This window comes from Homo sapiens, chromosome 8 (genome assembly GCF_000001405.40).
Source record: "Homo sapiens chromosome 8, GRCh38.p14 Primary Assembly".
NCBI classification, from domain to species: Eukaryota; Metazoa; Chordata; class Mammalia; order Primates; family Hominidae; genus Homo; species Homo sapiens.
The window spans coordinates 119209244-119222124 of record NC_000008.11 but is presented as its reverse complement, the minus strand read 5'-3'; the positions used below and the strand labels follow the sequence as shown (position 1 = coordinate 119222124).

General features: G+C 40.1%; 1 protein-coding gene and 1 long non-coding RNA gene across 6 annotated transcripts in view; one reads left to right on the top strand and one right to left on the bottom strand.

The window, feature by feature from the left end:
* MAL2-AS1 (MAL2 antisense RNA 1) overlaps positions 1-7502 on the top strand; it is a 32235-nt gene extending 24733 nt beyond the window's left edge. For 2 of the 4 annotated variants that reach the window (NR_149113.1, NR_149114.1), the window contains 2 exons: positions 718-882; positions 6498-7502. This is a non-coding gene — a long non-coding RNA (MAL2 antisense RNA 1). The remainder of the gene's footprint in view (positions 1-717; positions 883-6497) is intronic. The other 2 variants (NR_149112.1, NR_149111.1) reach the window with 2 other exon arrangements.
* Positions 1-12881, bottom strand: part of MAL2 (mal, T cell differentiation protein 2) — a 37311-nt gene that overhangs the window by 23549 nt on the left and 881 nt on the right. The window contains exon 2 of one of the 2 annotated variants that reach the window (NM_052886.3): positions 368-538. The exons of the other annotated variant lie outside the window; for it this stretch is intronic. Within the exon in view, the coding sequence (NP_443118.1) occupies positions 368-538 (171 nt within the window). The remainder of the gene's footprint in view (positions 1-367; positions 539-12881) is intronic. 2 annotated transcript variants of the gene reach the window in all.

Below are 12881 nucleotides of genomic sequence, written 5' to 3'. Positions count from 1 at the left end.
GGGCAGAAATTAATGGAAAATTTCAAGATGCGACAATGTTTAGTTCCCAAAGGCATTTGTTCAATTGTTTGATAATTGTAATGCAATTCATTTGCCGTATGAAATGAAACAGTTTTTGAGTAAGAGTTATCTAAGTTGTAGGAGTAACAATTATTTCTCAGCTCTATCAACACAGAGATTTCGCAAACTGGGGCCCTGTTGTCCATCAAGGCAGCCACACACCACCGCAGCACCACAGCAGTCTCTGTGGTTGGACCGCTTCTCTCCCATTAGGGGCAACAGAACTGGGACTCTGGCATTTCAGAACAGAATAGGATACAGGTTTCTCCCATCTTCCTGCAATAGACTTAAAATAAAAAGTCCTTACCAGGAAGTTCCAGTTAGCATCAATTTGAGCCACCATGCCAGAGAGGAACATGCCCAGAAAGAGGAGCGAAAAGAAAAACGCTGTCACGGACACAAACATGACCCATCCTTGTAGTAGAGGTAGAGGAACATTGGAGGAGGCAACCAAAATCCAGACAAGACCCCCGAACAGCTGAAAGAGAAAAAGAGGGTAATTGGTTTGCTTAAAAGATACCTTTCACACAACAGAATTAAACATGCTTGTATTACCCTCAGCATTGCCTTCATTTTCCTCCCAGACCCCTGCACATATTCCAGCAACCCCATCCCTTCGATTTTCCCCTTATTATGTAAGATGCCTTCTTTCCTCAGGTGCAAGATCAATCCTCCTGCTTGGAGAACTGATCCAACTCCACACCTGTATCTTCAGGTTGGACTCGCTTCTTCAACCCATGTACATGTCCAGTATTCCTTCATCATTGACAAATACCTTCCTTTGACTTTACTGATTCTCTGACTACCACCTTTTCAATGAAGGTATTTTTTCAGTCAACCATTTTAACAAATTCATCTTTGCTTGGTCTCCAATTCCTCTCCTTGAAGTTGCTCTTCACATCACTATAAACCAGCTTTTGATCTCATTGCTTCTTAGAGAGTTAGTAAAAAAAATGGATAGAATAATAGTTGCAGCTGTTGTATATGGCGGTAAACAATAAAAACTACCATCATTTATTGAGTATTATGTGTTCGACATAGGAATAAGTACTTCACATATCTATGGATCTAAGTATCAATAAATACCTACTACATTTCAGGCACTATGCCAGGTGCTGGGAATCAAATGGTAAACAGGTTACACTTGGTTTCTGTCACCACAGAACTCACAGTCTATTAGAGGAAAGAGACAAGTAAGCAAGCGATTAAAAAGCTGCTTCATAAATGTCACAATTGGGCAAATACTGGGCACTGCAGGTCCACACAGCAAGGGCTATAAATCCAGATTTGAAAATACTTCCTAGAAGCAACAATCCAAAGCACAGGGCTATGGGGTAAAGCAGAGGGAGGAAAGGGGGGTTCCATGGCAGGAGCTGAGAGTAGCCCCGCATAGGTGAAGAACAAAGCTCAGCAAGACAGGAGGGGCATGTGCTGGTGGGGAACGGAGAGAACTGTACTGGAGACTGAGCGAGGAGGTGCTGAAGCTCGGGCCAAGGAACTGAACTTCACCTAAGGGCGATGACAAAGCCAAGATCATCTTGAGCAGAAACTAGCATGGTCAAGATTTGCCTTTAGAAATTTCTCTCTGGCTAGAATGTGAGAATGGACTGGGGAGGAAAGGGTGGATGGTGAGGCAGCACATCTCTGTGTTTCTCAGCTCTATCAACACAGAGATTTCACAAACATTGGGTAACACAGGAGACTGTTAGACCAACAGAGTGTAAGAATCAGAACACTGAGGACAGAGAGAAAGGAATGGATTAGAGTGAAATTTAGAAGTAGACATGATAATAGTTGGTAACTGATCAGATGTGGGACACAACAGAAAAAGGACAGATAAGGAAAATACCCAGATTTCTGGAATGGGCCTCTAGGCTTGAGAGAACACCGCAGGAGAAATGGTGTGAAGATGAGTTTTATGCATCTATCACCATTGGTCTCCTCCATACTACCATGCCTGGCATTCCAAGCCATTTGTGATCTGACATGTCTTTTTCATCCTTGTCTCTTGCCACTATGCCCCTCACATTTTGTATTAGGGGGAGAAAAAAAATCCACAGTTCCAAGACAAAGATCTTTCACATCAGAGTGGCCTGTTACTTGCATGCCGTGAATGTCATTCCCTCCCTATGTGTACTTGAGATTCTCCCACTCACATCTAATCTTGAGCACATCATTTACAACATTTTTCCTGAGATCCACCCCTGCTCAGTTATGCCTCCCTCCTCTGGGCAACCTCCCTACTGGGCTTTGTTACATCAGTGAGATACACTGTAATTAAATCCCTTTGGCTCTCCATCTGCACTACCAGGCCTTCTTGGCAGCATACTGCTTTATATGTCTCTGCATCCCAAGCCATTTATTAATCTACACAGTAATCCTTTCCTAACCATCAGTCAGGTACTATGCTAGATTTGGCAGCACAAAACCTTAGGCTACATACCTGCCCTGAAGACACCTCAAGCAAGTGAGAATCAATCTCTCTCTCTCTCTCTCTGTCTCTCTCTCTCACACACACACACACACACACACACACACACACACCCAGGGAGAGTGATAGAGCACGCTCTTAAATTATTTGCTTAGTAAACAAGCTAGTGCTCATGTGAGAACAGTTGGAGCTCCAAATATTAAAAATCAATACTCATCTGTACATTGCATTTCAGTATCTAGATATCCAAATTACTCCACAAGTCACTGAAAGTTAAAAACACAAGTTTTAATTCAAGCTTCAAGAAAAGGCCCAATCATATAATTTGTTACTACTTTGAAGAAACATTTTTGAAAGCATAAATGATCACTTGATCAATGATAATCAAATCACCAGTCTAAAAAAATGTATAGTTGTGGTGTATACCTCAACTCCTAAAGTCAAATAAAAAATTAACAATTGATCCAGAAAGTGTTATGAAATAAATCTAATGAATATCAGTGCATCTTAAACATTTAACCACCACCTTATCAGTGCCTATAAAAGAAAAAACTTGTTCCTAATATTATTTACCTTTACATACTATTAAATAAATATCTGAAGGCGATATAAGTATGTCTTCAGTGGATCAATCTTTCCTTTTTTTCCACTTTCTTCTTTCTGGTAGTCTTTTCTTACTCTCCCACAAAGAATAACCTACATAACTTTAAATACAGTTTAAGAAATATACATTAAGTATCTCTTCTGAGTTATTTCCTGAGAACCTATGTGCAAATATAAAGGATAATAAAAAGCAATTGGCCACTGTTTGTTAGGGACAGGCAGAGCCAAATAGATAAACATAATGAGTTAGGGATGATGATACATTCACACCTCTAAAGAGGAGGCTATATGATCCTTTGGAATTCAACACAGCATTTACTAAACCCAGACTGGACCTCAAACAGGCCAGCCCCGAACCTACTGCTAGGTACTATAGAAGAACACTCAAGAAAAAACAAAAAAGGCAAGGTTCCATCTCCAGGAGCTTGAAATAAGGAAGAAATAGACACTATTAAACTGATTCAGGAGCAGATTGCGGTGGGTGCTATAAAAAGAGCTCAACACAGTGTGTTCTGAGAGGCTGGGAGGGGAGAGGAGAGAAGAAATATAATGGGAAGAATCTGGAAAGGTAGGCAGGGGAGGCAGGCTTCAGAGTAAGCTTTCAAGACAGACCAAGGCTTTGACAGCAGAGGCTATACTGTAAAATAGTATAGACTAACCGTTCTTATCGTACTCAAAATTACAGCCCTTCAAACACCTCAAAGGCTTGGAAGGGAAACTAAATGCTGCATGAACAGGAGTCAGATTCACCTCCTCACTTGTGGGGTATGTGCTGCATGGAAAGGGGAGAGGGAAGGAGTGTAGGAATGCCCCCTCTCTCTCACTCAAGTAAATACATATGATACATCCCTAGAGCTGAGATTCTGTGAAATCCAGGCTCGCTTTGGAAGAGAGAGGATGGGCCAGAGAACATAATTGAGCCCACTTTGGAGGGCCACCATCCTCATTTTGAGACTGTCATACTGGTGTATGGATCACTCTGGCCTTGACACAGTTATTATTCCCTACTTTGTGATTTCCTTTTGACAAAAGCTACTTTTCTTCTTGAGCTTCCCAACTTGGCTCCAACTTAAACTTGGCTCCAGTTTTTTTAAGTTAAAAAACTGAACTTAAAAAATTGAGATGACCAATGCTCAGTATATTCACTTCCTCTAATTCCGGGCATTAGTGAGCTTAGAGTGTTTGCAAAACGGTGTAATTATCAGCATTCCTGTTCAGTAGAGACGACTCTGGAGGTGGCCATATTTTTAGAAGTAAAAAGCAGAACACAAAAATGGTTAAATCTGACAGAGAACAGATGATAAATACAGTAGCAACTGCAGAGTACACACTGTGAAGAAAGGTATTCGGAACTATTATATGTTTCGCCCACGTTATTCTCATCGTCTTGGATCTGAATCCATATTCTGACCCCTTCCCTGCCACTGCCTTCCACTGCTTTCTAGTGTTCTAAAAAATCCAATAATTATGTATAAAATAGCCAAAGGCACCTCAATTTGAAATTTCTTTAAGAAACTAAGTCAGTGCTTATGACGTCAAACCTCAAGCTCTAACAAAAAGACTACCTTTGCTTCCAGGCAATACAAAGGTAAAAACCTCCTAGGAGTAGGTATCAGCATCTCCCGGTGACTCAGTCACCTTTTATCTTCTTAACCCAACTTTAGGTGTACTGGGTACATACCAGAAGTACTCAAATATATTCTGAGTTGCAGTTATTAAATTGCTACACATTCCTAAAACAACTGATCTTCTTTCTGGTTTAACACATGTTTGTTATGTTTGCTTGGTCTCTGCAGACCAGAAAGGTATGACTTGGCTGAAACCCTACCATAAGAAAACCACGGAAGTATTTATCCACAAATCACACTAAACTGAATCCTCAGGGTTTGATGTGAAGACATGTTTTCACTAGAAACTGTGGAATGGGAAAAATACATAGTCCCACGGGAAAACATGCTCTTGAGCAAGTAGCAACTCTTGCAATTCTGGGTGCATGAATTACAGATTCTTAACTCATCTCCTGTTTGGACGGTCTTATGTTCCCAAAGGGTTCCTTTTGCAAATGCCCTTTTTCTTTTCAAATGTCACTTATTTCCTAATTACCTGCTTTTAAACATACCCTCTGACAGCTAAAAATTTTTTCAAACCAATTTGACACCTCCATCTTAGTATACCCACAAAGTAAACCGGCTAATTTCTACTGTGACCTATTTTCAATTAATGTTTGGAATGAGAACAGGAAAAGGTAAGTGAATTTGAAAGGATAAAGGCTGGCTAAACTACCCATAAGGGAAAACACTATTTAGAACTTTCCGTATTAAGCTCCCTCCTTCTAATTCTATTATCTATATATTGGATAATTCATTATTCTACTGCAGTGAGAATGAACACCCAGCAAACATAGAGGAAAAGCAAAAAAATATTTGTCTTCCAGTCTGGCTTGTAGAGTTAGAGTAAGAAGTTGAAGCTAATGGTGATAGCAGAAATAGTACTTAACATTTACTGAGCTCTTATGTTATAAGCACCGTTATAAGGGTTTTATTTGTGCCAATTTAATCCTCACAGACCTTGAGAGACAACATTATTATTCCTACTTTATAGGTAAGTTAATTGAGGTACAAATCCATTCATAACTTGTTCCTAGTTATATAGTTAATAAGTGTTAGACCTGAAATTTGAACTTGGCAATTGGCTTCCAGAACTTATGATTTTAACATTCTGCTATTCTGCCCCTCTCATGGTTTAGTGTTCATTCTAAAGCAGGGTTTCTACCCATATTCCATATGATTTCCTAAAATCATATAAAATTGGGTGGACAAGTACATATGCATTTTTCTGAGGACACAGTCCACACCTTTCATCAGAATCACAAAGGGGTATGTGGCCCCCCCACCCAGAAGTTCAGAACACTTTATCTACTTGTAACCCCTTCTATTTTAATGGATGTTTACTTATGGGGTGCTGCACAGGAAACATCATGGTTATAGAAGTGTTCAGTATATTCAGAAATTTATCAGCTAGAAAAAAAAAGATTATCTACAATTAGCTATATTTTACATACAATTCGCATTTTGAAAGATTTCCTTAAACTAGAAACATACTTAGCCAACACATACAATATAACTGGTAGATGTATTTACAAAGCAGCCCACACAAGTATGGATTCATTCACAATGCGACTGTAGATCACTGGTACCACTACAAGGCATACTGCTGCCCCCCTCCCCAAGCTCATCATCTTCCCTGTAATGCTTCTTTTCCTACCACCCTCTCTTTGCATTCCAGCCTCTACCCCTCATCCCCTGAGCATAGAGAAATGATCACACTTGACCATGTTTCTGCCTAGCATGCTGCCAGTAAAAATTCTGCTGCATAACTAAACTCCAGTTACCATGTTTTCCAGAAAGACTTCCCTGGCCAGGTGCCATCCCTCGGTGCTTCCACGGTTACTGACGCGTGTATTCTCCACAGCAATTACAACTGGATCAAAATCATGGATCTACATGCCCATTTCACCCACTAGACTGTGACGTCAGAGTCGGTGACATTGCCTTCAACATCTCCGTATGCTCATTACCCAGGGTGGTGCTTTCTACAGAAGGTCCTCAATCCATCCTCCTTGAAATGAATGGAAACCAACCGGCATGTGTAATGAATGGTTCCAAAAGAGAATGCTCTAGGAGTGCAGCTTGGGATGCTAGGAACACACTCCGGTCTGGAGCCCAGCTCACTCCCTGGTTCATGGTGGATGTCCAAAAATAGGCATGAAAACGAGTGAAGCGAGAATATGTACTTCTCAATTCTCAAGTTATTATTGGTGACACCCACCACCTAGTACCAGATCTCAGGAGGCTGAGATGGAAAGTTATGGGAAACTTTGTACCTCTTGCCAGTTGAATTCATGACACCCAATTTTAAATCTTTTTTCGGCCCCAAATTTGCCCACATGACCTATTTCTATTGTAACTGCCACTGGAACTTTTGACCAGGGTAAATCTTGTGCCTTCTTCCAGTGCCTCCTGCTCCCCTCATCAGTCCCCATCTGTCCTCTAACCATGCTGACTTCTGTCCAAACTGCTTCTGGACTGGCCCTGGCATAGACCTGCATTAGAGATGCAAGGCAGCAAGGTGTTTATTTATTTAGTTAGTTAGGAAAACAGAACAAATTCTGGGATGTAATGAGAAATGACATACACATAAGAGGCTTATGACCAAAATACGTTAATACTCATTGCAAAAGAAGTTCTACTTTTTAGCTTTACATTTGAAGGCTTTAAAAATATGTCTGAGAGTGCTATAGAGAGTTATACTTTCTTCCTCCCCATGTGACCTAAACCTCCAATTCAGCTGCTTAAATAGCTGACACCGACCCTAAAATGGAAAGCTCATATTACAGAGGAGAAATATGTTCTGGTTCTTTTTATTCTTCTTTATAATAATTCCTCTCGATTTTGAAAATTCCCTTTTCATGTTTGCAGGTAACTAGTTATCACTTTTAGTTTAAAGCTGTTCCTGCGTGCCAATGCCCTGATATTGGCCAGACCCGTATAAATCACTGCCTCTTTCCTTTCTTTTTACCTTCCTCCTTCTCATAGCTATTATACAGAAGTTGAGATTGTTATATATGTTGTCTATAAAAGGATATGGTACTCTTATATAAAATAGAACACTTAGGAAATTCAAGTTAAAGTGCAGAAACCTGGAGAAGAATTATGGCAGTTTACATGTTGGGCAAGATTTAAGAGGGCATCTACTCCCAAGCTGCCCTTCTCCACTCCAGCCAATGTCTCCAGACTATTTTCACATACTGCTCAGTTTGTACTATAGAACAAACAAGTAGCATTTGTTAAGTACTGCATGTGCATGATACTGGGTATGCCAACCTGGTTCCTGTCCTTTGTCATTACAGGGTCATTTCTATTCAGCCATATCACTGCAAATACACCATGTCCACAGCTCCTACCACCACGTACAACATTTCTATCAGGCTCTACAAAACAAATCTCTTCTCTATGACTTTTTCCTTTGGAGCTCAAGGTGAATCTTTTCAGCTACTTGGTTTAAAGTTTTCCATATTTCAGTTCTTCGTATTTTTTTTTAAAGGACTGCCAGTCGGAGCAAATGATTGTTGATAATAATCTCTGGCAGGGGCATTGGTTTATTTTCCCTTATGAAACTTTAAAGGTTATTTATTTATTCATTTATTATTTTGGGGATGTAGTTTCGCTCTTATTTCCCAGGCTGGAGGGTGATGGTGCGATCTTGGCTCACTGCAACTCTGCCTCCCAGGTTCAAGCAATTCTCCTGCCACGGCCTCCCAAGTAGCTGGGATTACAGTCATGTGCCACCACACCTGGCTAATTTTGTATTTTTAGTAGAGATGGGGGTTTCACCATGTTGGTCAGGCTGGTCTTGAACTCCTGACCTCAGGTGATCCACCTGCTTCAGCCTCCCAAAGTGCTAGGATTACAGGCATGAGCCACTGCACCCGGCCTAAAGATTCTTTTAATGTGGATGAAGATTTTTAATCCAGAGGCAAAGGAAAAAAAATACCTACAGTTTTAAAACCCATTTAGGGGACAACTATGTCCATGGACAGCTCCCTCTTGCACACTGCAAATAAGCAATGTCCCTTCACAGTCAACATTTTCCAGGCAATAAACTCTATACATCAGAACATATACATGTTACTAGTCCAAAGTCAAAGCTCTCAGTTGAAAATAACCTGAAGTCCCTTTCATAGATTTATCTGCATGACTGAACCTGCCTCCCCTAAAGTCCCTCCCTCACAATCATCCTTTCATTAACATTTGTTTTTCTGGCATAATTCCTCTGAGTTACATCTTATATTTAAGTTTAGTCTAGGTATCACTTTGGGGCAAGTCAAACTTTACATACTTAATTGACTTCCCAAACCTCAAACCTCTCTCTCTCCTTCTCCATCCTTCTTTCATTGGTTCTATTTCAGGTTCTTTTCATCCCTTATCTAAACTATTGCAATAAGCCCCCTAACTGCTCTTCCTGCCTTCAGTCCCTTTGTTTTACAACCAAACTTCATCACTCAAAGGTTTCTAAGACACAAGCTGGATCAAGTTTCTCTCTGTCCTTCACAGCTTTCCATCAGACAATAAATCCAATGCCTTGGCCTAGCATTTCTCAGCAAACCAGAACCTGAGTCCTACCTGCTGTTTTTCCTTTTTCTGCCACGGCCCACCAAAATCTCACAACTGACAGAACGTTCTTGCCATTGTCCTTCTTGTCTCTGTGTTTGTACGTGTCCTTGTTTCTACCTGGAATTCTCTTTCCCATTTTCTAATGAACCATGGCTCATTATTGAAGGCTAACCTCAAATGTCCCCACCTCATTAAAGCTGCCTGTTCTGACCTCTCCAGAAGTCAGATGTACTCTATCCTGCTGTTCCACAATACTTTTTATAAACCTATATTAGCACTTCATACACAGCATGGTAATTCTTTCTTGACTTTATATTCCACCAAACAGTAATTTCTTTTAAGGGCAGGAGCCATGTTAGTTACTCTATTTTCAGGGCATAAAAGAAGGCTTGATGCATAGTATGTTCTTAATTATAAGCTGAGTAAATGAAAATTACTATGGCATCCAAAACACTGCAGTTAGAAGCATGTGAATAAGAATCCTAGAGTATCTCCCACAAAGATAAATGTGAATGAATAACTTGGGGAATATAAGTAGTTTCTTAAACACTAAAACTGCAAAATAAAACACAATGAATTCAATGATTATCTGTATTCTTTTTCGTGATTAATACTATTAAAAATTCAATTTTTCTTGTGCATTTTACAAGATAAGCTCATTGAGAGCAGGGATCCTAAATATCTTGTTCAGCCCAATAGTGCAGATGATCCCATGTTATTTTTTAAAGTAGATAGACCCACCTGGAAAATGTTTTAGCTGCAGTTCACTTCCCATACTTAATTCTTTCTTCCCTGAATGGTAGTTACTTTTGTGACTATACTCTCAACTAGGTTATAGGTCTTTCTGGTGAGGAAGGGTTTAAACATCTTTGTTCCCAGAGGAGTGCCTTGCACATAGTAGGTATTCAGTAAATACCCGATGAGTGATTTTTATAAAATATTCACTCAAAAAACTGTGAGATTTTGAAAGTGCGAATTTTGAAGGTGATGGCTTCCATTCTAAGCTAAAAGGCTTAGCTTTGCAATATTAACTTAGTATTAAACTCTGTGGCAAGCATACATTGGTAAGTATTGCTAAGCCCAAAACCAAAGAGCTGACAATTAGGTATCCAGGAGTGGAACACACCTTATCTCCCTATCTCAAAAAAAAAAAAAAAAAAATCACTATGCACGTGAGATTGTAATATTCTCCACTTAAGAAGCCAGTGCTATAATGCTTTTCCTGGTGCTCGTAGGCTGGCACTATTTATATATTTTGTAATATCTCCCAACAAATGGCTTATATCTGACAGGCTGTGAATAGAATACGTTAAGGGGAATTGGGAATGAATACTTTGAGCCAAGTTAAATGGTTAGTGTGAGAACCAAACTCCAAGAGCATGGTGTCAATAGCGTAGTCAACTGTTGATAGCCCAGTCCTCCTTTGTCAGGTACAATTTTCACATGTTAAGTTTCAGAAGGCAATGGGACAGAAATGAAGAACTCTTAAAGACAAACGAATTTGAACAGAAGGTCAAAATTAAAATGGAGTTTGAGGATATCCAGAAACACCGGCAGAGGTTAAAATAATGGGTCCCCAGAATGGAGATCACTTAGCATTTAGGACAGTGCCTGGGAAATTCTCACATTTACTTTACAGGTTGAGGAATTTCTGAGGAGGAGCCATGGGAGATGGCCAATTTTAAAAGAATCAGAAAATTAGATGGAAATTGAGACATCTAGGAGCTAAGTTGCTTCAAAAGTGTTCACTTAGCTTCTATCTGTACATCCACTCAAGATGAGTATTCTAAATGGAGGGGTAACAAGCCAGCTTTGATCTCTGCTCTCTTAAAGCATGTAAACCAATATCTCTAAACAGTCCTAAAGGATGAGAGCCGAGGAGCTATAGTTTGACTCTAGTGTGGTCTCTTGTTTTGTTTCTCTAACGTCACCAGTTTCATTGGAACATTTTGGTCATTTTTCAATGGGGTGGGGGAGATTGATATTCAAGTAAAGGAGATAAAGGGGGCCTAAAATGTAAACTTATTGAGTTGGCCATAAAAAGAGAGAAGCAAACTAATAAGCTTTTGGAAGTGATGCTGTTCTACGTAGCCAAGAGTGTGAGACATGTTTCAGGATGTAAGAAGCCAGAGGAAATGAGATAAGAGGATTAGATTGGACACTTCTGTGAGTCTGGAATCCCTCCTAGGTTGGGGAGTGGTGGCAGTTTTAGCGGATAGAGAGAATTCACATCTCTGAAAGCAGAGCTGTCTTCTCTAGGCTCTGAATATTAGAATCACCAGGGAAGCTTTAAAAAATAACTAGTGAACTCTGGCACTCCCCCAGAGATTCTGATTTAATTAGTCTGGGCTGGTAACAGTTATTTTAAAAAGCTGTTCAAGTTATTAAGTACAGCAAGAATTGAGAACTAACCTCTGGGCTAGATTTAAAAAAGATATAATGGGGAGGGGGAGGGGGAAATTGACTAAGTCACTTTCTATTCTTTTCCCCCAGAATTAGGCCTTGTTTCCTAAAAGTCTGACATGACTACAGGTTCTTGAGATGGTATTTGATTAGAGGGCATATGGATAAGCCTTCTTTGCATATACACATGTATATATATTTACATATACACATACATGTATCTTTACATACATACATACATATATTTGAATAAACATTAGAAAAATATAACCAGAATATCAAATTTGAAATTTCATGTATATTATTGCTTAAGAAAAGACAAAAGTACTGAAGTTTAGAAAGTATTTCAATGAACTGTCTGTAAATTCTAGTACAGGTGGAATGCGGATATGGCAAAAACTTCTCAAAGAGGTAGGCAAAAAACTGGAGCTTGCAGAACATGGAATAAAGTAGCCGAGAACCTAAGAAATCGTTCTTTGCAGATCTTCCAGTTCTAAACGTGTCTCCCTCCCACAGCAAGGCAGCCAGCCCAATGCCATCGTCTCTCCGCTCTTCCCACATGGATGCCTGCACCTCATCCCAAGCACTCAGATGCTTCTGAACCAGGCTCAAACTCAAACCAGCCTCGCAGTCAGGATCCCATTACTGATGTCATAGCCTGCAACTCACTCACGTCTCCTCTTTCAGATTCAAATCCGGGCTAAACTTAACTTAGGGTGGTGTGGCTACCTGAGCATAATAGAACAGTGCTCACAAGGTGATCCAGCTCCACAAGCACAAAAGTGAAACCAAAGCGACCCAAATAAAGGTTATGCAAGCTCAAAGGCCAGGGTGAGGGGAGAGATGAAAATCCTAAACCGAGCAAACAATACCAGCCTGCCGGAAAGGCACTAACTCGCTAACATTTCACTTTTTATTTGCCATTCTCAGGCATGATGCAACCTCAGGTTGCCCAATTTATATTTGCACATTATCTACTTGTCCACAAGGAGCTTCGAAAGTTTCCAACTCCATAAAATTCCATTTAAAAAGTTCAAGTGCTACCTAAAAAGGCTGCACGACAGGCAGGTAACCCCACCTTTACTTGGGCCCAACAAAGTGTGCTAAAAAGGTTTGGAGTTGCGTAAGGAGGCCAGGAAGTGAGAAGGTGCAAAGGCAGGCAGAGAAGAACTCGAGAGCCACGTTTCCATCTTTCCCCCACCATTGTCACA